The sequence below is a fragment of the Homo sapiens genome, chromosome 9 (assembly GCF_000001405.40).
Source record: "Homo sapiens chromosome 9, GRCh38.p14 Primary Assembly".
Lineage (NCBI taxonomy): Eukaryota > Metazoa > Chordata > Mammalia > Primates > Hominidae > Homo > Homo sapiens.
Window position 1 is genome coordinate 116640619 of NC_000009.12, and position 26311 is coordinate 116666929.

The 26311-nt window shown below is 40.7% G+C and overlaps 1 protein-coding gene and 1 long non-coding RNA gene across 9 annotated transcripts in view; one reads left to right on the plus strand and one right to left on the minus strand.

The window, feature by feature from the left end:
- LOC105376240 (uncharacterized) overlaps positions 1-3679 on the plus strand; it is a 46451-nt gene extending 42772 nt beyond the window's left edge. The window contains exon 3 of the long non-coding RNA XR_930277.3: positions 3595-3679. This is a non-coding gene — a long non-coding RNA (uncharacterized LOC105376240). The remainder of the gene's footprint in view (positions 1-3594) is intronic.
- Positions 1-26311, minus strand: part of ASTN2 (astrotactin 2) — a 991946-nt gene that overhangs the window by 217507 nt on the left and 748128 nt on the right. For all 8 annotated transcript variants that reach the window (NM_014010.5, NM_001365069.1, NM_001365068.1 and 5 more), the window contains one exon: positions 10910-11175. In NM_014010.5, coding sequence (NP_054729.3) covers positions 10910-11175 — 266 coding nt within the window. The remainder of the gene's footprint in view (positions 1-10909; positions 11176-26311) is intronic.

The window sequence follows — 26311 nt, forward strand, 5'->3', positions numbered from 1 at the left end:
GGAAGCAAGAGAAGTAAGAAGACAAGATGAGTTTTAAGAAATTAGAAGGTTTCCGCCCAAGCAGCCCCTGAGCACCATGGCAAGGACTTTGGTTTTTATCTTAAGAGCAACTGGAAGTCGATAAATGGTTTTAATCACGAAAGTGATGTGAGCAAGTTTTAGTTTTGAAAATATCACTCTGGCTGCAAAGAAGTGGAAGGATTAAAAGAGGCAGGGGTTGTTATTAGACAGGAGACTATTGAAATAGTACAGGCAAGATTTGGATCAGTTTGGGAAAGAGTGAATGTATTAGAGAAATTCTTAAGGAGATAAATCTACAGGACTTGGAATGGGTTGTATTTTGTGGGGAATGGGTGCAGGTGGAAAGGAAAGAGGAGTTATCAAGGCTGACTCCTTGGTTTCAGGATTTTAAAAATGGAAATAGAAAATACTGTCAGAAGAAAGGGAGGCAATTCATGGCAACCATAGTACAGTGGTCTGCAAGGGTTACAAATGAGAAGTTACTGTACTTTTATTTTATGGTAGGAGCCAATCCTAGAATGAATCGAAGTGAATCAATGTAGACAGAGATGCCTGCTTTTTCAAAAGTTTTGGCTGTTAAGAAATGAAGAGACAGTAGCTGGAGAAGGTAACTGAATGCAATGACATTGTCTTTAGCATGCATTAGACTTTAACTTTTATTTAAAATTTGAAGAAGAGAAGCTAGTAGAGAGGAAAGTGAGAAGAGGCTCAGGTGCTCAGGTCAAATCCTGGCTCTACAAGTTCCTATTTGTAAGACCTTGAGACAAGTGATTTAGCTTCTCCATGCCTCAGTTTTCATGTTGGGGAAAAAAGGATAATAATAGCACCCACCATGTGGACTTGATGAGAGGGTTCAGTGAGCCAAGTACATAAAGTGCTTTAGCTAAGCTCCTGGCACCATGGAAGTGCTCAGTAAATGTTTGTTATTATTAAAAGGACAAGGGAAAGCTTTTCTGCCATTCTCTTTTTTTATTGCATGTAATAACTAATTCAATGTCCCATGGAAAAAAAATATTCTCTGACATGCAAAAATGTTTGCATTTGCTAAAACTGTATATCTCGCATTTCTTATTGAATCTGGTAGTCTTCAGGTCCCATGAAAGAGCTATGTTTTCCAGTTTTGCAGGTAGACAAGCCAAGTATTAAGTTCCTCTTTTGTAATTGACCATGAGTGTGTTGAGTAATATGTGGATTACTTCTCCCTCTTTTCTTTGATCTTCCCTGTTGCCAAGGATTGCCTGACAGTCTGATTCTTGGCCGGTTCACCTCCTTCTCAGAATGCACTAAGATAGAAAGGAAGTGACCCACAATAGCAGAGAAGGTTTAAGCTAGATTATAGGAAGTACTTGACTTTCTTAATCCCTAAACAAGGAATTCCCTGAAGGAATTTCAAACTGAAAATGACATATGAACCAGTTTGGGTAGTGGTTCTCAAGCTCATTTTGTACCAGAATTACCTGGGGAGGCTGGGAAAATGAAGGCTCCCAACCCACAAAAAAAAAAAAACAAAAAAAAACAGAATCAGTAGGAAGAGACAAGGAAACTCCATTTTAAACAAACACTTCCCCCATTCTCACCTTAAGTGATTTTGATCCACTGAGACACTCTGAGATCCAGAACTCCACTCACTAGGCACTCTTGACCTCCCTTATTCTGCTGTACTTTTTTTGTATACTTTTTAATATACTATATTATTTACTGTGCTGATTGCTTATTTCATGTCTCTCTCACACACACTCCAGTAGAAATTAATTTCCTAGACTGTGAAGCTATAATGCCTGCTTTGCTCCTCAGGGTATCCCAAGTGCCCAGAACAGTGTCTGGCCAATAGGAGCCCCTTAGTCAATACTTGTTCAAATGATGTAAATGGAATTCTCACTCTTCAGCCATCTCATACATATACCCCCCATCTAACTGACACTGACCCTCTTAGTTTAGTATTCTACAACATTTGAGTCAAGAATATGGATCTATTCTCCAGGAGAAAAATATAAGTAATGTATAATTCTGCAAAAACTTTCTAGGGATGAGCATCCAAAGATCCTATAAAGTCAAGGATCCCCAAATGCCAAATTAACAACCCTTGCCATAAAATCAGTCCTGGTCCCCGCAATTCATCTTCTGTTGCTATAGTTGCTACTCTAAGACTCAAATCTAGTTATATTTTTCCTTGACCTACAATCTTGAAAGACTCTATATGGTTTGCACAGCACCCGAATTTTACAACATGGCATTCAAAGTTGCCCACAATGCAGCCTTCTGCCTATCCCTTTTCCAGTTTTATTTCTACCAAATCTTTCAGGCCTGTTGCAAGAATGGCTGACTGAACACAAAAGCTTTGGACTCAGACATTCTGGGTTTGAATTCTCACCCCACAATTCACTAGCCATGTTATCTTAAGTAAATTATTCACCTCTCTGAAGTCTCAGGTTTTTGTTTTTTAATTTGTAAAGTAAGCATAATAGTGAATACTTCAAATGTGTTGTAGGGGGACAGAGTAAGAGAACATATATAAATACACATGAAGCACTTTTTTAAATGCCAGGCACATAGTTGGCACTCGATAATTGTTAGGTTTTATTCTTCTATTCTTCTATTCTACATGCTCAGCACATAGTATTGACACATTTTTCTGTCTCCTGCTTTTCCAATATTGCTTAGTCTAGACCGGGGTTTGGCAAACCTTTCCTGTAAAGGACTAGAAAGTAAACACTTTGAGCTTTGCACCCCATACTGTTTTCTGTAGCTACTACTTAATTCTGCTGTTGCAGCAGGAAAGCAGTTATAGATGATACGTAAATCAAGATATGTGGCTATGTTTCATAGACTTGATTTATAAAAATAGGAAGCAGGCTGGATGTGGCCCATGGGCCATAGTTTTCCAACTTTGGTCTAGACTAGCTTTGAAATCTTACAGACCTGGGTTCAAGCTTCTCTGGGGTTCCATCTCCTTATCTGTTAGATAAGGATAATAATAGTACTTCCCTCATAAGTTGTTGGATGATTAAATTAGATAAAGCATGTAAAGTCCTTAGCACAGTTTTTGGCACATAGTACATATATATGTATCTGATGGATATTATTGTCTTCATCATCAAAAAACTTGCTTTGCAGTTCTACTATGTGCCCATATCCACCTTCCCTTCTTTAAGAATTGTTTCCAGATTCTCCCTCTCAGAGTTTCTTTCTCTCTTCTAACACTATTGGAATGTCTATTGCACTATTCAAAAATAAATCATGCATTTGTGTAGCATATGTAAGTAATTATAGTAGCATATGTGTCCTTGTTACTAGACTGTGTGCTCCTTGAAGGCACAGTCTGTGTCTTGTTCCTCTCTATAGCACATTTTCTAACACAGTATCTGGCACACAGTAGGCAACCAATGCAAGATAATCACAGTGATGGGGCTATAGCGAGGGTGATGCTGGTAGTGATAGTAGTGGTGTAGCATAGTGGTGGCGGTAGTGGTCATGGTTGTAGTGATGGTAGGTACTGGTAATAACTGGGGGAGGGGGTGAGACTTGGCTGTTAATTTCTCTTCAAAGAGTAGTTATTTGGAATTCTCTTCTCAGTTGGAGCCAAAAAGTGGAAATGAAACAAACAAGCTTTTCTGGCAGAGAGAAAGAATCTGCTGGAAGGTCAGACAACCACAAGACTAGAATTACACATGACTCTTCCTAGAGCAGCATGAACAGAAAATGCTCACAGGATTGGAAGTCTGAAAACCCGAGGGCTGGAAAGAACCATTCAGATCTACAGAGTATTTTACAGCCTTCAAAACATTGAAAGTCTCTTAATTTTTCTACAGACAGCTGTGGGGAAAGTTACCACCACCCATTTCCCAGATGAGAAAACTGAGCCTTGGAAAAATAAAAGATATTTCCAAGGGTTGAAGGCATGTCTTACTTCAAATTCAGCCTTGGCTATGTGACCTGAAAAAACTCAGTCCTCAGCTCTGTTCTTAGTTTTACTATCTGTAAAATAAAGAGGTTGATTTGTAAAATAAACAGGATAAGATTTTAATAGCCCTATCTGCTCATAAATGCTATGTCATTGTGTGCCACTGGTATGGAGTGCAAGATATGTATATCTTTCTCCTCCCAGTATTAAATTTAAGGAGTAAAATTGGCATTGTCTCTGAATGGGAAACAAATTTCAGGTCACAGGATGCCTCTTCCAACCTCAAAAGATTTGCTTTATATTCTGGGTAGAAGTTAGAGCTGACCTTATCACAGTGCCAAAGGGGACCTTGGATGAAGTTAGCCTGCTTTTCTCATCATACAGATAAAGAAATGGAGACCTAGACAGTAGAAGCATGTCCAATGTCATATAATAATCAAGGACAGAGCCTAGTTCAGATTCCTAGTGTCTCCGTTTTCTAGTTTTCCCAAAGAAAACTCCCAACCCTGAGATGAAAAGGGATAAATACTAGATTGCCTACTTTACAAATAAGTAAAAGTCAGATCACATAGACAGTAAATGGCAGAGAAGGGATTCAAATCCAACTCTGTCTGGCTCTTTAGTATGCCACTCCTCTGCCTCCTCCACTTGGAAGACTCTCTTTCACCCAGGAGCTAAGTTAACAACCACACAAAGTCTTGTACATTTAAGCACCAGTTGTGCTGAGCCAAGCTCTGTGGCTTTGGGCTGTGTAAGAGCCATTTAACAGGTGGAGGGAGGAGATTTATGCATTAATCAAATTATTCTTCATAAAGAGTTTTTCCCTGCTTCTCTTGTTCAAAACAACAGCACAAGGTATAATCAAGGGCTCGTTTCCAGCTTAGGCAGAAGGCATCATCTTTTCCCATGCATTCACTGGAATGTACCTAAGGAGACCCCAACTACCCAAGGAGCTAGGGTCCAATGGTCCCCAAGGCCATCGAGAATACCTTGGTCCAGAATCAGAGGACAAAAATACCCCACAAACCTCAGGCATGTCATATCCTCTCTCTGTTAGTCCCTAACTGTGCCATAAAATGGGGTTCAGGATTTTACTCAGAGCCTCTACTCCAGGGGTAGGGAGTTCTCATACAGAGGAACTTCCACTCTGCATTAGAATGAGCTATGATATTCATTGCCAACAGAATACAAGTTCCAGCAATGTTTATAAAGTGAGAAAATGCCCCTGAGATCCCTCCATTTGTAAAGTGCCCTTTTGGGTTAGCCAATGGCCTCTCCCATACAAAATATGAATCCTATTCTAAAATGTCATGTCCCTAGCACTTTAGGTACCAGCAAAGTTTTCAAGTACTATCTAGAAGAGGAGTTACCAAAGGAAACATAGAAAAAGAAAAGAGCCATTTTAAATAAACATATTCTTATCACTATCATAGATAACATTCGTCTGTTAAGTGATTTCTTCTTGGACATTATGCATTCATTATCTCTTTTGATTCCCATGAAGTAGGGATTGTGAGACCACATTTTACAAGTGTGGAAACTGAGGTATGAAGACACCATTCAGCATCACATAGTGAATGGGGATTGAGGAAACATCCAAACCCAAGCCGGTAGAGCAAAGAACCTGTACTATCTGCTTCCATGTAAATAAAGTGTCTTGTAGGAAACTCAGAAAGAAACTGACTCCACTTATCTGTTTTTTAATTTTTGTTTTGTTCTGTTTTGTTCTTTGTTTTTTGAAGTAGGAAAAGAAAGTCCCAGAAAGAGAAAAGAACTTGCTATGACCTGCTATGTCTCAGTGTGAAAGCCCAGGCCCCTCAACTATAGGTCAGGGCTCTGAAGTGTTTTCTTGTATCCATGTGGCCTGTAGAGATGATAGAAAGATGGAAAAGTCATGGGAGGAAGGGTGATGGGAGTTAGTGGCAGAGTTGGAGAAAAAATGATAAACAAAACGAGAGTAGCTGCTTTTTCTTCCCACCAGCGTTGTTTTGTGGCCATATTCCCTTCCTCCAGGATCATTTCCAGACCTGCAGTGGGTCTATCCCACTCATTCCCACTGCAACCTGGCTCCTTTGGAAATGTCTAAGGCACTCCATCCCTTAGGCTGTCATGACACTTTAAACAGGCCTTTCATTTGTGTTTGGGGAGGGAAAGAAGAAACTGGAGACTTGGAGGAAGCCGCCTACAGTCTTTCAGCTCTAACATTTCTTTGCAAGGATCACTAAGAGGAAAAGAGAGTAGAAGTGAGAAGATAGTGCCCATGCCTGTCTGTTTGCTCTAACTTCTCCTGGCTTCCCCATTGCCCTGGGGCTAAACTCCTCACCACATGTTGTACAGTTCTGCCTGACTTCTCTTCAGCATTGTCCATGGAGTTTTCTCCCAGTCTCAGCTCCAGCCACACTGGTTTTCATTCTCTTCCTGAAATGGGTCACATTTGCTCATTCTTCAGGTGTTTGCAGAAGTTGGGCATTCTACCAGCAATGTTCTCATTCTCCTCTTCCTTTCTGAAACCTCAGTCTTCCATATTCATTTTATGCACTTGGCCCCCAAAAGCTCACTTTACATGTCACTTTCTCAGGAAAGCCTTCTCTGACTGCGTAAGGCCCCTTAATACACGCTTGCAATCCACCAGCCTAGTACTCTATACAGTCTTGACTCTACTTATTAGTGTGATTGTTTCATTAATATCTGTCTTCTCCATAAGTCTGTGAACTCCGTAAAGATAAAGACCATATCCACTTGTCATACTGTTCACTCTTCAGGGTATAACGCAGTCTTAGCATACAGTGGGGGCTCAAAGATACTTAATGAATGAATGACTAGCACTTCCAGCTCTACAGGTCTCCTGCAAGGAGAACAGTGACATCTAGTGACCACTTTCACACTCTTGGGATTCTCTGATCACACACCACTAATTAGCCTCAGAAAGACCTCACTGGATTTCCAATAAGTTGAATATTTCAATGATGCTGAGGGAACCTGGCATGGAATCCAGACATAGGGGAATCTGGCTCCTGCACAAACAGGAAAGGCACCACCAGCCTATCTATTGCTATGCATGTGCCAAGAACACATTGCAAAAGTCCCGTGGCTTGGCTTGTAGTGTGCCACATTGCAGATGAGGACAGTGTGGCCCAGAAAGGCCGTCACTGGAGCGAGTTCACAGAGCAGTAAACAGGGATATTCACAGGCTCATTCACCAAGTCCCAGAAGGCCAGTTAAACAAAACTACATCCTCACTGATACAACACTAGTCGAACCACTAGGTATTTTTATTTATTTATGTTTTGGAGACAGTGTCTCATTCTGTTACCCAGGTTGAAGTGCAGTGACACAATCACAGCTCACTGAAGCCTTGACCTCCTCCTTGAGCGCTTGATGCGCTCAAGCGATCCTCCCACCTCAGCCTCCAGAGTAGCTGGATGACAGGTGTGCACCACCACACCAGGCCAATTTTTTCTTTTCTTTTTTTTTTTTTTGAGACAGAGTCTTGCTCTGTTGCCCAGACTGGAGTGCAATGGTGCGATCTTGGCTCACTGGAACCACTGCCTCTCGGGTTCAAGCGATTCTCCTGCCTCAGCCTCCTGAGTAGCTGGGATTATAGGTGCATGCCACCACACCCAACTAAGTTTTGTATTTTTAGTAGAGATGGGGTTTCACCATGTTGTACAAGCTGGTCTTGAACTCCTGACCTCATGATCAGCCCGTCTCGGCCTCCCAAAGTGCTAAGATTACAGGTGTGAGTCACCGCACTTGGCCTAATTTTTCTTTCAGAAATGGTGGTCTCCCTATATTGCCCAGGCTGGTCTTGAACCCACTGGGCTCAAGCTATCCTCTCACCTCAGGCTCCCAAAGTGCTGGGATTACAGGCGTGAACCACTGGCCCTGGGCCTGTTCTTGTTATTTATTGGAATCTGCAATAGCCTCCTCATGGATCTCCTTGATTCTACTCTTACATTCTCACAGTCTATCCTGACCCTGCAGCTGGAGGTGTGGAGACATACACATATGTATTTTATTGTTGGTGTTAGTTTGGGGACCTCTGATGCACAGAGTTAGATTATTTGCAGTGTTCAGTTTAGGACTGAAGCTCATTGTTGAGCCATGCATGGGTAGGCTTTATTTATTTGTTCAGTTAGCTAGTTAGTTTTAATAAACTTTTTAAACTTTAATGAACTCTCACTAATCTACCACCAAAAACACCAGCTAGGAGCTGGGCGCAGTGGCTTACACCTGTAATTCCAGCACTTTGGGAGGCTGAGGCGAGCAGATTGCTTCAGGTCAGAAGTTCGAGACCAGCCTGGCCAACATGTTGAAACCTTGTCTCTACTAAAAATACAAAAATTAGCCAGGCATGGTGGTGGACGCCTGTAATCCCAGCTACTCAGGAGGCTGAGGCAGAAGAATTGTTTGAACCCAGGAGGCGGAGGTTGCAGTGAGCCAAGATTGCGCCACTGCACCCTAGCCTGGGAGACAGAGTGAGACTCAGTCTCAAACAAACAAACAAAAAAACACCAGCTAGGAACTTGAGTACTTACATGTAACATATGCTTCCTTATGCCATTACCTTAGTTTTCCTGACTCAAGATCACCATCATCCTGTCTCCTATGTTCATCACTTCCTTGCTTCCCTTTTTAAATCATATTTATTGCATCTGTATTTATTCCTAAAAGATAGTATATTTGAGGTGTAGGTATGCTTTAACTTAAAGAAGGGAGGAAAGGGTGTTGTGCCATATAAAATCTTTGGAGCCAGGCATGGTGGCTCTTGCCTGTAATCCCAGCACTTTGGGAGGCCGAGGTGGGTGGATCACCTGAGGCCAGGAGTTCAAGACCAGCCTGACCAACATGGTGAAACCCCATCTCTACTAAAAACACAAAAAATTAGCTGGGCATGGTGGCAGGTACCTGTAATCCCAGCTACTCCGGAGGCTGAGGCAGGAGAATCGCTTGAACCCAGGAGGTGGAGGTTGCAGTGAGCTGAGATCGCGCCATTGCACTCCAGCCTGGGCAACAAGAACAAAACTGTCTCAAAAAAAAAAAAAAAAATCTTTAGGACTTACTTTCTTCAGTTAATAATACATTCATTCATTTCATATTGACAGGTATCACTACAGCTCATTCATTTTGGTTACTGTAGTATATTCTATTGAATATATATCCTGTGCTTTATTTCAATGCTGTCCCATGGATGGGAATTTGGGTTTTTTACAGAGGCCTCCTTCTGCCACACAATCTAATCCCATCAGCCTCCTGCCAATAACCATGCATCATCATCACCTCATGGCCCACAGGATAGGGTCAAAATTCCACAATTTGGCTTACAATATTGTGGAAATGATCAGGATTCATTTTGTTTCTCCCTCCGTCCTTGGTCTTAGTCATGAGGCATTTCTTTTGGTCTTTGTACAAACAATGTTCTTTTCTTCCTTAGGTCATCTACCTGACACTTTCCCTACCTCCTTTCTCCCATGCCTTCTCTTTCCTCTATGAAGCTCTGTATGAGCACTCAACACCCTCCAGCACTTAGCCAAGAAGTATGCTGTGGGAGGGGCACGGGATTCATAGAGTTCTACTAGACTTAGTCAGTGGTCTACCAGTGGAGGCCCAGGGCTGTCTGGGAGGTGTTGTAGAAGGAGGAGTGGGGATCAAATGGGAGATGCTTTATCTCCCTTCCTCTGCCTCATTGAAATAGTGGCATCACTATTCCTGATTTTATGGATTGAGGTTCAAGAAAGATTGCATTTGGAAAAAGTGTTCCATAAAGATAAGTTTGCAAACCAGTGAATCAATAATTCATATGGTCCCCTCAAGCCCTGCCATTCTATAATTAAAAGTGAGAGAACCGAAGAGAAAAAAAGAAGCAATAATTTCATGGCTAAGCATATAAACTCTGGAGCAGACCAACTTTGAGTAAATCACTTAATATCTTTGAGGTTTCCTCAGCTGTAAAAGGGGTACGATATTAAAATGAACCATATGAAATTGCCATTTTATAAGTAAAAAATGGCCAAATGTCAGCAATTTCATATGAATCGAACCAATATATGTAAGTAAATCACAGATCTGGAGGGCAGAGTAAATGAGATAATGCAAGTATTGTACTGAGGTAGATACTGCTAGGTTTTCACCAAACCCATGTCTTCTCCTAGGCACACAGCTAAAATCCATTTCCCTGTCTTCATTTCAGACAGGTATGGACAATGGCTGAGTTCTAATCAATAGAATGCATGAGAGGTAAAAATGACATTTGCCACTTTCAGGCTTGGTCTATTTAAACCTATGATGTGCAACCCTCCCTGTTCTTTCCCCTTCCACAGCAATTGTGGAAGCATCAGGTCAATGCAGCACAAGGAACAGGCTGAGTCCCTGCACTACTTTTTTTTTTTTTTTTAAACCAAGTCTCACTCTGTTACCCAGGCTGGAGTACAATGGCACGATCTCGGCTCACTGCAACCTCCACCTCCCAGGTTCAAGCAATTCTCCTGCCTCAGCCTCCCAACGTAGCTGCGATTACAGATGCCTGCCACCACACCTGGCGAATCTTTGTGTTTTTAGTAGAGATGGGGTTTCACCATGTTGGCCAGGCTGCTCTCAAACTCCTGACCTCAGGTAATCCACCCGCCTTGGCCTCCCAAAGTGTTGAGATTACAGGCATGAGCCACCATGCCCAGCCTGCACTACTTCTCATAAAGCCCCCCATCAATCAAAAACATCTATTTGGGATGTTGCACAAACAAACAAACAAACAAAAACCTTGATTGTATTAAGCCACTGAGATTTAAGGGTTTATTGTTTATAACAGCTAGTATTGTCAAACTATGTAAGTATTTAGAACATGGTAAGGAATCAATAAATGCTAGTAATCACCATGATGATGATATGATGATGATCATGATGACAATACCCCTGGACAAAGGGTCCACAAGGGTAGGAGGTAGGAGGGCTGGTCAAGTTTGACTGAGTGGCTGGGCCAGGGGAGCTCACCTCCTTTGTGCCATTGTCTTGGATGAGGGTATAAAGTGGCACCACACGGTTGATTTCCAGCAGCACTGGTGTGGGGCTCAGCTGCTCCTTGCCTGGCCGGCGGCAAAGGTGACAGGTAGATGGACAGCGCCCCTTCTCCTCACAGCGAATCTCCACACCTGAAATGAGCTGGTCATCTGACAGCATCTGGGCTGTCAGCAAACCTGAGAGGTAGGTGATGAAGGGCATGGACTTGAGCTCCTTCTTGCTGCCCAGCTCTGTGGTCTCTGGAGAGGCACAAGACAGGAAGAGCGAAAGGTAAACTCAGGATTATTCAAAAGGCCAGACTCTTGAATTCACAAAATACAGATGCTAAGAAGCTGGTATCCATTGAGGAAGTAAAAAGATGATAGAGTGATTTATTCATGATGCCTTGGAAAGACTGCCAGACTGAGGGTTCAAAGGCCAGAATGGTGTATTGTCCTACCACTTACATTAAATATCCACTTGCTTTGTCTGGCCCTCATTTTTCCCGTATGTAAAGTTGGGGCCAGGCACAATAATCCCAGCACTTTGGGAGGCTGAGGCAGGTGGACCACCTGAGGTCAAGAGTTTGAGACCAGCCTGGCCAACATTGCAAAAACCCATATCTACTAAAAATACAAAAAAATTAGCCAAGCGTGGGGTTATGTACCTATAATCCCAGCTACTCGGGAGGCTGAGGCAGGAGAATCACTTGAACCCAGGAAGCAGAGGTTGCAGTGAGCTGAGATTGTGCCACTGCACACCAACCTGGGCAAGAGAGCGAGATTCCATCTCAGAATAAATAAATGAAAAATAAATAAATTAATTAATTAAATAAAGTTGGTAGGTTGGGCTAGATTATTATTCAATAATTTTGCAAGATATAAATATTCAAAGATATTTTTTACCCAACCAAAAATTCCTTTCAGTCTTCTGTCAACCTACAAAAAGGATATCCTTCCTTTAAAATTTATATCTAGTCCTATATTTTCCATGCAGCCCAATATTACAAGAAAAACACAAGCTTTGGGTCAAGCCAACTTCATCTGAAATCTCAGTTCTGCTTGAAAATACCTCTGCAACCTTAGGAAAATGTCAGTATCCAAGTGACTCCAATGATAAATTCTGAGAAATGGGGTTAATAATACCAATGAAATCAGTTATGAATAGCAAATGAGAAAGGAGGAGGTAGGACTGTCTGGAAAAGACATCATTTCTCCTTTTTTTGTGTGTGCTTACCTGTTTCCTTGTTCACACTTTTCCTGCCTCTTTCTTCATGTGCACACTGAGATCTGACTTATGCATGCTTCATTATGTGCCATCTCTCTTGATCTATAAACCAGTATTTTCCACCTCTGTGCCTTTGCTCACTCTGTGCTGCTTTTCCCCTCTGCCTCTCCACATCTCTTCTATCAATGCTCCATTCCAATGTTACTGTCTTTAGGGAGTCATTCTTCATTGCCCCAGCCCTTCTTTTCTGAATAAGTGTTTCTATTTATGAGATCTTATTTAAGTTCATTTTCCCTTCCCATTTTCTGCTGACCTCTAAAACAATATTATCAACTCTTGGAGATCAGGGGCCATGGCTCCCATTCCTACCCACTTTCAGTGCCAAACATGGTGCGACGGATGTATTTGATACTCAGCCAGAGAGATTATAGAATTCTGAATGGCTAGAACTATATTCATGATCTAGTCTAGAGACTTCAAAACTCTTCTGAGGAATCCTAGGGATCCTAGGAAGCACCACAGCAATTGATTGCATAGAAAAAGAGGGAAACTGAGCAGGCAGGGCTCTAAACTCTCATCTCTGTTTCAAACAGAGCAGTTTCACTTTTATTTCTTTTATAGGCTGGCCTTCTATACAAGATTTCGTGAAAATAAAGAGTTCTATGGCTATATCAAAAACCTTGAAGAAGCAAAGTGATTTGTACAACCGACAGGGTTCCTTTTACATCACAGACTATGAGAATGGTATCCTCACAGATGTGCAGTGCATAATCTGAGTGGTAAAACATGGTAATTTTATACTAAGAGACAGAGCTTAATCCATCTGGCAGCTTCAACGAAGCCTAGTAATGTCAAGGCAAGCTCCTGCCTCAGTGGAAATAGGGGCCCTGCGCCCTGATGTCGGGGAGAAAAAGGAGAGTTGTCTCTTGCTCTTGGTTCTAGGCTTGTAGTGACATGCAGCTGATCTGGAAATGGACTTGCCAATTAGAAATACAAATAAACACAGCCTTCATTCATTACTCTCTGGGCCCTCAGGCCTGGAATCTGGCCTCCACCTTTTCTGTCTGGCTGTCAGCAAATGCTTATGAGCATCAGATCAAAGGCTCTGGGGGAGGAAGACAAGGAAAATTCCAGTTAACCAATCCTTCACAGGGATTAAAGAAGGGTAGTTACTAAGACAAACAAAACAAGGGTGTAAAGAAGGCATCCCAGCAGCTAGAGACAGTCTTATATCCAGACCTTTCAAAAGAAGATGATGACGACTTTTTGTAGACCAGACGGATAGTTTTGAGGAAAGATGACTTCAAACTTGGGAGAGAATAGCCGTTCGGGGAGAAGGTCAAGAGAGAGTCAGAGCAATGAGGACACTAGGGACTCATTAGCCCACGCTCTGGCCTAGGTCAACAAACTATGGCCCATGGGCCAAATCCAGTCCCCTTCCAGCTTGTGTAAATAAAGTTTTATTGGAACACAGCCACCCCCATTCATTTATTTATTGTGAATAGCTGCAAGGACAGAATTGAGTAGTTACAACAAAGACTCTATAATCACAAAGCCTAAAAATATTAACTAACTTACCCTTTACAGAAAAAGTTTGGCAACCCCTGCTCTTGACCTAGTTTACAGGTGGGGAAACTGAGTTTCAGAGAAATGATCCAACCACATAGGAATATGGAAGTATGATGGATTAAGTAATGTAAAAATTGTGGAATCAAATGCACCATCAATATACTTAGATTGTGAATCTCCGGGGAGAAAAAATAGAGTAGGGCATCTTTTCTTCATAAAATGGATTTCAAAAACTATTGAAAGAACACACTGGTATGCTGATCTAGTACAAATCTTCACATTTTAAAGAAGAGAAAAGTGTGTCCCAAAGAAGGAAAATGACTTTCCAAGGTCACACAGTGAGTCCTTTCAGCACACAATCCCAGTCTTCTAATCACCAATTTATCATTTAAACGACTATCTTATGTTATCTCATATTTTAAAGCACAGATGGCATGATCCCCATAGCACCTTGCTATATGCACATAATTTCACTGAGAAGAAATATAACTTGGTGCTAAGAGTAAAAATTCCCTTGATCAAACAAACATTCATAGTCATTGGGTTAAATATATAACTATCCATTTAACAACACAATAATCTATAGATCTTTGCTAGTCTGCTTCTGTTCAATAAATCTTCAGCTTTTTAAATCTATCACCCCTTTTGGTGCAGTTAAAAGCCCACAATCTTGGCTGAAAATTGCACCACAGTAGCAGTATAGAATTTACAGCTGAATTTAAGGGTTAGTTTTGCCAAAGGAGGGCTATAATCTGGTGCAACCCCATTGAAACCTATTACCAAAATAAGGAAAGGGACTTATTTCTAAGTCTCACACACTTGTATTAACAGTGATCCATTTCTTAGAGACTGTGTCATGCCTAAGTTATGATCTAGATGAGAGTTAAGATGAAACACCATTAGCCATTCCATTAATTATTCCTCTGTAGACATTACAATTGCAAAAGCTAATTGCTTCTGATTCAACCTTACCCTGTGGCTAAAGTCATCTATTCGAAAGGCAAACCTTTTATTCTTCTCCTGCTTAAAACACTTCCATTTCACTTCACTCCTCTTAGGTTAAAGACCAAAACCATTAAGAGAGCATGTAGAAAATGTGGGATCTAGACAACATGCTGCCTCTCTAGTTGGATCTCTTATTCTGTTCCTCTTAGTTCAGCTACAATGGCTAAATCCCTTGCATATACCCTCTGCCTCTCTCAATCGTGGCACAGGCTCTTCTCTCTGCACAGAATTCTTTCTTCCACCCCATCTCCAGCCCTGCCTTTTCCAGGCTAACTTCCACTCATCCCTCAGGTCTTAGTTCAAGTGCCCATTCCTCAGAAAAGCCTTCCCTGAATTCCTCATGCCACTAACGTACACCAAGATTTTTTTTATATATATACAGCGTCTCACTCTGTCACTTGGGTTGAAGTCAGTGGCACAATCTCAGCTCACTGAAATCTCTGCCTCCTGGGCTTAAGCAATCCCCCCACCTCAGCCTTCCAAGTAGCTGGGACCACAGACACATGCCACCACACCTGGCTAATGTTTTCTTGTGTTTTTTGTTGTTGTTGTTGTTGTTGTTTTGTATTTTTTGGTAGAGACAGCGTTTCACCATGTTGCCCAGGCTAGTCTTGAACTCCTGAGCTCAAGCAATCTGCCCACCTCAGCCTCCCAAAGTGCTGGCATTATAGACATGAGCCACCGCACCTGACCTATTAAGTTTTCCTATTACAGATCCTGATAGCATCCTATTCTCTGTATCATCTATTAATGTCTCGAGATTGTAAACTACATGAAGGAAAAGACAGCATCAGTTTTGCTGATCCCATATCCATCTTACACAGTACCTGGAACACAGCAGGCTTTCAAAAATATTTTTAATATTTGTTAAATATATAGTAAACATACATAACCTGTGCTGCCTTATCCAAGCATCGATGAACCTAAGAGCCAGAATTGGTAAATTACAAGGACGATAACTAATAAATGATTGTAGTCAACATACAACTTCTTCCCAAAGTAAAATTAGTGCTCTAATCAAAAGGTCAACAGATGAATAGCTGAGCACTTTTCCAGTTGCTCTGACCCTCTCTAGGTTTTCATGTAGGCCCTTGCCATTAAGTGAATGGGAGAGTTAGGTTAAAATACAGTGTCTTTAACAGGCCAAGGAAAAAGAACATTTTTGAAGAGACTTATCCTCTGTTCACATTTCCCATCCCTCTGAACAATGCTTCCAAAATAGGATCATGTCTGGTTTCAAGCCCAATTCAGTTCCAATGACACTACAACCCATTCATTTGAGAACCTGCCAACTGAACTCTCTTTTTTCTCCTCCCAAATTCCTGCTGGGTATTATTTTGTTGCCACCAAAAAAAAAAAAAAAAAAAAAGCCTCAGTTGAAGTGACAACTCCTTGTTGGGAGGGCAGCCAGGGCTTTTCGGCAGGAGATGATGGCACCGCTTGCCCTCATCCAGAAAACAAAACAAAGCATCAGACTAAGGGCTTCTGGGAGAGCCAAAGCTGCACGGATGTTTGTTCAATATTCGGCAACGGTGCAGGGTGCTGCCTCCCTAGTCAGACAGGCTTGCTTTGGCAATAGGTTTGCACTTGAAGCATTTAAAAGCTCCATAGGGACCAGAGGGGCTCAAATTAGAAACATTAAGGGAGAGGGGAAAGGGGTGAGACTTTTATATCATAAAGAACGGCCTTTATTACAGCAATGGCCTCCCAGGAATTACTGAAATTGGATCATTTCTTAGGCGGAGTTACTGTCTCCTGTTGGAAGAAAGCAATTGCTCTGAGGCCTGACTCAAGGACCCACACAAATATCTTTAAGAAGGGGAAAATAGCCAGCTGAAATGCCACTAGCAAGGCCTGCACTTCTGTGTTGTGCAATATGAACTTCTCAGCCTAACAATCAAAGTCCTGCATCATTAGTGTGCCCTTTATAAATAATAGTACCAACCTAAAAGAGTTATTGTGAGGATTAAGTAAGGGGCCTGGAACAAGTTAAGCACTCAATAAATATTATTTGTTATTGTTGTTGTTGCTGTAGTTGTCATAATTACATTGCTGTTGTTGTTACATGACATTAAAATTGAAATTTCTGTTCAGACACCAAGGCCTAATAGAAGTAAAATTCCCAAGTCATGCCCCTAGATGCAGAAGTTACAAAGGAGAGGAAATCTAACCAATTTCACAACTCTAGAAACCTCAGCCAGAACAAAGACATAAAAAGAGGTTAGGCCAGACACGGTGGCTCACGCCTGTAATCCCAATACTTTGGGAGGCCAAGGCGGGTGAACCACTTGAGCTCAGGAGTTTGAAACCAGCCTGGCCAACATGGCAAAACCCCATGCCGATGAAAAACACAAAAATTAGCTGGGCCTGTTGGCACACGCCTGTAATCTCAGTTATTTGGGAGGCTGAGGCACGAGAATCACTCGAACCTGGGAGGTGGAGGTTGCAGTGAACCGAGTTTCTGCCACTGCATTCCAGCCTGGGTGACACAGTGAGAACCTGTCTCAAAAAAAAGGAATATAAAAGAAAAAAGAGAGGTCAGAAAGTAGCAAGATTTTTTTTTTTTTTTTTGAGATGGAGTCTTGCTGTATCACCCAGATTGGAGTGCAGTGGCACAATCTCGGCTCACTGCAACCTCCACCTCCTGGATTCAAGCAATTCTCCCTCAGCCTCCTGAGTAGTTGGGACTACAGGTACATGCCACCATGCCTGGCTAATTTTTGTATTTGCAAGAAGAGATTTAAGGAAGTTTGTTTTTTGTTTTGTTTTTGTTTTGTTTTGTTTTTGCAAAGAACTATTACCATGTTTGGAGTCTTCAGCACCCTAGCCAGCTCAAGTGTTACATGCTATCTGCTAACTCTAAGTTTTGTGAGAGGAACCCTCAGGAGTGCCACTTGGAGAACTTGGATATATTCTCAGCAACTGGCAAGAAAATGGACTAGGTCCTATCTTCACCTGAAAAAGCTGCAGTGGCCTATACCAACAGAACAGAAGGAGCTGCATGGGGATTAGCCCAAACCCCCAGAGGTTGCCCAGTGAAAAATGCTTGCTTCCTCTGAACTGTATATGGGTCACATAGAAGAAAGAACTGGCCTGGAACTGTTTTAAGCCCTACCCAAGAGGAATCTAACAGAGTGATGGGTCCCCCACAGTGAATCTCCATGAGGTAGGAAGCCAGAGAAACAGTAGGTAGGAAGGGATCACTGAAGCCAGACAAAGAGAAATGGCACTGTTCCAGGTCTTACGAGAAGTCCCAAGCATTGGGGACCGCTGAAAAGCCCCTGAACAAGCCCCCCAAGACAAATGGCCAGCTTTATAAAGATGCCAGGACCAGAGACCGCAAAGCCAGGTAAAATAATTCTGGAGCAAGTATGACCTTCCTAATCCTGACCACCGCTCTTTTTTTTTTTTTTTTTTTTTTTTTGCTTGTACTGTGAAAGAAGGGGAAGAAGAGGTGCAAAGTAAAGAAAGAGCATGAAGGCCAACCATTCCCACCTCTTAATGCTCCTATTGGGAAAGATACGGAGATTTTATTTGTCAAAAGATTTGATTAAAATATTGGACTGGAAATCCTAATTCCTGATTTGAAAGTATGTTAGCAATGTAAAATATCGATGGTGCTGCTGCCTATTCCATAAGTGATAATAGATTAGATGTGGTCTGCTAAGATTTTCATCTAGAGGTAGAGGAAAATTATCCCAGTAAACATATCACAAAGAGTGGCAGAATCAACACATATGTATATACTTTTGAGCATACTTGTTTTCACAGACTATATTTTGACTATTCTCAATTTGCAGTATGAACTGAATCGTTTATATCCTCATTATAGTACATGTCACGTTTTTATTATTTGATTTAATATAATAATTAAATGAATATATTTCTCTCCAAATATACCATAAGTTTCATGAGAACAAGGACCATGGCCATTTTTAATGAACATTTGCATTCCAAGCACAGAGTTCACTGTTTGATATCATGTAGACAGTCTGCAGGTAAATATATGAACAAATGAATAAATGAATGCATAAATCTGACTCCTGTCCCACTAGTGTAATGCTTATCAGACTTCAGACCAACTATCCCAATTTATCACCACAGCCCCAAAGACAGTTGGTCTTTGTTTTATTTTATTAATGTACACTTGATAGATCAGAGAAGTAAAGTAACGTGACCAAAGTCACACAGCTAGCAACTAGTCTAGCTGTTTCTACCCAGTTTTTCTGCTCTTTCCACTGTCCATATTTCCTCTCTGAAAAACTTTCAGCACCAGTTTTCACTCCTACAGGATGAGTCATATCCGTTCCAAATATTTGTATCTTCCCATTACCTCCCACCCCCAGGTAATGCCCCCAATCTCCTCCACCCATTTCCATGGGCTAATAGGGTCTCCTGGGTGGAAAGCATTCTAAAGGTCACCTGGTCAGAAATCCCATCTAATTTTTCATTTACCACCAAATAATCCTCCAATTTATTCTTGGACATTTCTAAAGATGTGGAAATCAGTACCTTTCTAGGCCTCAAGTTCCATTGTGGAAAGGCTCTATTAAACTTAGACTAACTTCTCATCCAGGAACCACACTTCTCATCCTAAGCATCAGACCCAAGCCCAGAGTTATGTACTTTATGCTATTAGATGTCTTATCTACAGTACTCACGCCTGGACTCTAGTTGGGGTGTGGGGTCATACTACAATTAAACAATTAACTAACTAGGTAGATGAAATTCCTATCCCAGGAACCATAGGGCATTGTTGGGTGGCTTCTGAGAAGGTATATATGTATGAGTATGTGTATGTTGTGATGTATGTGTTGTGTTCATATTGCAAGCGCACACACACACACACACACACACACACACACACACATTTGGGGAATGGAAAGAAAAGCAACAGTGGAGATTCCAAAAATAAGAAGACAGAATTATAAAACTGCCAAACCCTAGGACAACTGATTTCCTAACCTAAGTGAATTTGCAAGCTCTTCCCCTAAATGTATAAGTAATAAGCACAATTACAGAGGGGCAGCTATAGCACAGTGTTTTGCTTGAGTTTAAATTCCATCTTTTTTGTTTTCTAGCTGGGTGACCTTGGAACAAGACCTTAACCTCTCTAAGCCTCCATTTCCTCATCTGTAAAATGCTAATAATTTTAGTACCTAAATATTGGATTATTTGGAGGATAAATGAGAATCAGAACTTAATGAAAAATATCCAATGCTAGCGTGTCAAGAGCATCATCAGAGGTCATTTGTTCCAGCCCCTGGCATTCATCCTAGCATTATTCAATTCTTGTACATGTCTGAATCTGTAAATCTTCCCTTGAAACCTGCCTGATGCTTTAACTGTCAAAAATTTCCCCTTAAATTACCTGTCTTCTACCTACAAGAAGACAGTAGACCAGGGTAGAATTGAATGCGTAAGTCCAAAACTGTTGAGTCAGACTACCTGATTTCAAATCTTAATCAAGTCACTTCACCTCTCCAACCTTAGTTTGTTCATTTGTAAAATGGGGATACTAACTCCTCATCCAACTCCTCTAGGAATAAAACAAAAGATGTTGTGCTAGCACATTTTCACCTATGATCTCTCACAGTTCTCCACCATCCTACAAAGTAGGGATTGTTGCCCCCTTTTACAAATGAGAGAACTGAGGCACAGAGTGATAAAGTATAACTTGCAAGAGGACACCTGTCTTCAAGTGAAAGCAGTTAAATTTCTGAGGCAGGTCATACTCTCTGTGGGAAAGGGACCCCTGGACACTGCCCAGTAGCCTAGTACTGGCCAGTGTCTTGGCCAGAATCAGGAATCAGTCGGCATTGAAGGGTAACATTTACTTCTTCCTCCTGGGACAAGGCAGGTTGTGGCCAGTAACAGGAGGCTGAAAAAAAAAGGTCATATGTGATCTCCTGCTGCCCTCTAGTGCCTACTTAAGATGATTGCTCTGGGGAAATCTCTGTTCTGATCCTTTCTTGGCAAAGAAGGATCATTGTGTGCAAAGCAACTTCCACTGAGGGAAGCCAGGGAAACAGTAAAAGCTAGCTATGATACAAGGAAGCTTAGTGCGATGAGTAAAAGAATTCTGAAAGAGCATTTGCTGAGAAGGCCTATTCAGTGCCAGGTTTACAGCTAGGCACAAGGGGGGAAAATATGAATAACAATTTGTTTCAATCCTTGTGGTACTCAAGTGTAGAGACCTGATGGGACGTATTGGCTGGGAAGGAAAAAACAGAGATGGAGAAGGAGACGCTTAAGATATGGCAGAGAGAAAAGATAATTGATGGAGCAGGATCTTAAAGAAGACAGTAAGAGAAAAAATTCCAAGGTGGTAATGGAATGGATGCGGTCTGAACTTCATATACATCTGGATGTGAAATTCAGTTGGTCAAAACTAGGCATGCAACCAGGCCCTCTTTGTATAGTTACACAAGTTGAGCTCTGTAAAAAGGTGACTCACTCATAGGTGGGAATTGAACAATGAGAACACTTGGACACAGGAAGGGGAACATCACACACCGGGGCCTGTTGTGGGGTGCGGGGAGGGGAGAGGGATAAAATTAGGAAATATACCTAATGTAAATGATGAGTTAATGGGTGCAGCACACCAACATGGCACATGTATACATATGTAACAAACCTGCACATTGTGTACATGTACCCTAGAACTTAAATTAAAAAAAAAAAGAAAAAAATATATATATATAAAAGGTGACAAGGCAAAAGGGTGGATGGGGACTAAATCCACCCTCAGCTTCACGTGCCATGCCTGTGCTCCTGCAATTGAGTACAAGTAGAGGAGCTCCTCTTCCTAATTCATATAAGAGGTAACTTACAGGCTAGCCACAGCCCTGCATGTGACCATAGACAAGCTTCTTCCTCATAGTAGTCTCTGCTTTTTATGTATAAAATAGGCGAATATCACCGACAATATAAAGTTGTTGAGATTTAAGATAACGGGCTGGGTGCAGTGGCTCATGCCTGTAATTCCAACACTTTGGGAGGCTAAGGTGGGCGGATCACCTGAGGTCAGGAGTTCAAGACCAGCCTGGCCAATATGGTGAAACCCTGTCTCCACTAAAAATACAAAAGTTAGCTGGGTGTGGTGGTGGGCACCTGTAATCCCAGATACTCGGGAGGCTGAGGCAGGAGAATCACTTCAACCTGGGAGGCAGAGTTTGCAGTAAGCAGAGATTGCACCATTGCACTCCAGCCTGGGCAACGAAAGTGAGACTCCATCTCAAAAAAATAAAAAAATAATGTAGGGTCATGCCAGACACTTAATAGCCACCCAAAACATGCCAGTTCTTGTTATTATTACTATTATTAGTATTATTCTAACAACATAGTCTTATTTTTAATGCAGTTTTGCTTTTAAGATGGTGATAGGAAAAGTGCTTGGTAAAGGGAGAAGACAGAAAAGAAAATCATATTTCCCAATCTTCTATTCTTTGCCAAACACAAGACATTGTGGATCTCATGGAATCCTCACAACAGTGCCTTGGACAAGTAATGTCGTAATTTTTTACAACTGTAATATACAGCTGAAAAAACAGAGTTTCCGAGAAGTGACAGACTGCAGTCGAAGGTCATTAGGCATTCAAAGACTGACTCCAAAGCCCCTTTTCTGTCCAAAGGAGCTGAGATGGATCATTAATAGGAGAACGCCTTCTCTTTCTTGGGATCAAGTTCTTTTACTTTCTTGAAAACTGTGTTTAAAACTTACTCCTCAAGAACGGATTCCAAGATTAGTTCCTTCCCAATTCCTTCCTCCTCCTTCCAATCACTTCTCAGGCTAGGGGTCAAAGAGGAAATGCTCAGAAAAGATTATTCTTGGACAAGGCTTACGGAATTGGAGGCCTCTGAGATGCTAATGACCTGCTTTAGATAAAGACTCCCAGATTGTCCCACTTGAACATATTTGAAGCAGGAGAGCAGACCAACAAGGTATACCAGCCCACCTTGGGGCCAGTAGGAGGCCACTTTGGGGCCAGGGGGAGGTTGCCAGTTTCAAACATCCAGGAGGGTATGAACATCAGCTGGAGTCATCTAGGAACCATTAGTCAGTTAAGGGAACCATTAGAAAACACTCTCTTACTGTTTTCCTGGGGGTTCACAGTCTTGCTTTCACATTTCTAACTATTTTTAACAAAATGTTAAAAATACTCATGTTAAAAGACAACCTTTAAACATGTTACCAGGCATTACTTTTGGAAAACATGTTCAAGATTGAGTTACTTCTCCGTTAGCTCCCCTCTGCGGTGTAACTCTGCTGCTAGGGGCAGGGAGAAGGATCAATGAGCCCACTCAACAAAATATAAAAGGGCTGAAACTCATAGAGATTTCCTGTCTTATATTGAGGCAATCAGTAAAATTAATATTAACTGTAGCTGCAGTTTTACAGGCACATATTCCAGGACAGATGTTCTGCTACTTGATTTGCATACATTATGCCCTTTGGTCTCTATAAATCCTAACAATGAGAGGTAGGTTTCACTATTGCTTTTTAAAGATGAGTAAATGGAAGCTCATGGAGGGAAAATCAGGGATCCAAGAACATCTGGATTGCCATTGTGACCTTCCTTATTTCTAAGCACTCTTCCACAATATTAGGCTGCCTCCCACTCTGCTACATTGCTAGAGATTCAAGTTCAGGCAGTTATAAATTCTGGAAATTGAATATTCAATTTCTGTTGCTTCTGCCCATTACATCACAGTAATCAGCAATAAATCTCTTACCATAGCAGTCTATGGACAATCAATAGGTAATTGGTTGAAAAACTATGAAGCATCCAAACAGTGGGGTACTATATACCTAAAAATGAATTAGAATAATATTGTATGTGATTGGAGTAATCACAAATATATTTTACTAAATGGAAAAAAGGAAAGTGCAGAACAGTGTTTAAGGTTTTTTGTTTTTTTTTAATATAGGCACAGGGCCTCACTATGTTGCCTAGGTTGGTCTTGAACTTGTAAGCTCAAGGAATCCACCCTCCTTGGCCTCCCAAAGTGTTGGGATTACAGTGTGAGCCACCATGTCCAGCCCAGAGCACTGTTTAGAGTGCTCTCTTTTGTATAGAAATATATATAATATATATATATGTATATGTATATATGTATATAAATTTTTTATTAGGAAACACTGACAGGTTACCCAAACCTAACACAATAGTTATCTACAGGGGAAACAAGAAAACAAGGTCCAGGGATAAGAATAGAAGCCAGAGTTCTGCAGTATATCTTCATTTATAAGTTTTAGCTTTGCACCACACAAAAGTTTTACATACTTTTTTTTAAAGCACAAAAGAAAAAAAAAAACAATCTCTACAAATTATATACCCACTGAAAAAATATCTCTAACTCTACATCAGTGTTGACATAATTGTTTAGAGAAAATAACAATTTAGAGTGGCTTTTAAATGCAGTATTTTGATTTTACAGTTTAGTGAGGAATATTCCAAACACAAAATGATCTGCGAATCTAGACTTAATGGTCTTATCACCAGCTGTAATATTGGTGATATAGCTTGGATGTTTGTCCCCTCCAAATTTCATGTTGAAATGTAATCCCCAGTGTTGGAGGTGAGACGGGGTAGGAGGTGTTTGGGTCATGGGCATGGATCCCTCATCAATGGCTTGGTGCTCTCCCTGTGATAATGAGTTACTTCAAGAGCTGATTGTTAAAAAGTCTGGGACCTCCCTCCCTCTCTCTTTCTTGCTCCCTCTCTCTTGCCATGTGATACACCTACTCTTCTACCACGTTCCACCATGACTAAGAGCTTCCTGAAGCCTTACCAGAAGCTAAGCAGATGCTGGTGCCATGCTTGTACAGCCTACAGAACTGTGAGCCAAATAAACCTTTTTTCCTTATAAATTACTCAGTCTCAGGTATTGCTTTATAGTGACACAAAATGGACTGACACAATTGGTATTGCTATTTTGAAATAATTACCTGTCTGTTGTGGGCTATAGCAAGTAAGCCATTACGTTACTGTGATTGGGAACTAAGCTTTTTCAGCATTACGGACAACTAATTCAGGTATTAAGAAGGTTTATGAAAAATTATGTAAACTGAAATTTCAGTTGGAAATCATAAAAACTTACGACTTGTTTTTGTCTTTGAAAAAATAAAAACATTTCATAGCTCTGCCTACTGAAAAGGCCTAGAAATAATGATAATGTACTAGGCAATAAATACCCCTACTGCCCAGACTCTGGTTTCTAAATGCTATTTTTCATTAAAAGGAACAAAGGATACTTGGAAAAATTCCTGAATCCAAGTCTGGAACAAGTATGGTACAAGCTGAGCCTGGGATGTTTTGTTGTAACAAAAAACAAGGTCAGGACTAATGAAGTCATTTCAAAAGGACATACAAACCAACTTAAAGGGAATCACATTGGCCTAACATTAAACAATTTGAACAAGGAAAACAATAATAATTGCAATTGATTTAAATTTATCAAACAAATACACTTCCATTAATTCATAATGTTCTGAAAACTGAAACCAAAGCCAAACCAAAACCAAGAAACAAATAAAAACCAAATTAACAAAGCTCATCAGTTACTACTGGAGACTGCTAGGAGACAAACATATTATTCTAAAAATTGATAAAAGAATGAAGTATCAGCCATGCTTTGAACTGGATTTCAGGGTAACCATATTTTTTATGGAAATACTGCAGGTAATAAGAGCAGTAATAATGACAGAATCACAAAATTACCATTTCATAATTTCTAATAAAAGAATAGATCTAGACAACTATCATCAATGAATCCTAAAACTGCTAGGAGAAAGGCTAATGAGAAAATTTCTAATGAATGGATTGGACTGATAGGTACTGAACTTACTGATCAAACCTAATGTGACTACAAGTAGTACAACAGGCATTAAGTGCCACTGATATGATTCTCTAAGATGTACATGGCACTGCCTGAGTAATTCAGGTGGTACTCCTTGGATGATAGAATTTGGGGGTCTGCAGACTTGTATAGGGAAAAGAACATACCTTTATTTTTAGTATCTTATCATTGCAATGTACTATTTCCTTAAATTATGAATGCCATTAACAAAACATAGTAGTATGAACATTTCCTATGACTTTGACATAATGAAACTCACATATACTTCTATCACATTACCATTATTACAAATCTAAAAATACTTGTGGTTGACCAAACTTAGAATTATGATAGACTGTCCGCTAGATCTTGTCATTAATAAAGATGCACATATATTACTGTATCATACTTTTAAAATATTTTGATAGTTATATATTGACATAATTTCTTTCTTTTATAGTCTTTTGTATTTTATTTTATGCATTTTAAAATGTTTTTCTGAGAAAAGGGGTTATAGTCTTCAACATTCTACAAAAGGAGCCTGTAAGACAAAAACAGGTGGTGAATCCCTAAAAAAGAGAAACAAATTAAACAACACCATGAGGAAACACTTAGCTAAATCTGTAATTTGAACAGTTCTAAAGGACAAATGAGCCAACATCTTCAACAAATAACAGCATGGGCAAAATTAAAGTGTGGAACTATTATAGATTAAAAGAACACCATATAGACATTTTGATCCATATTATTTAT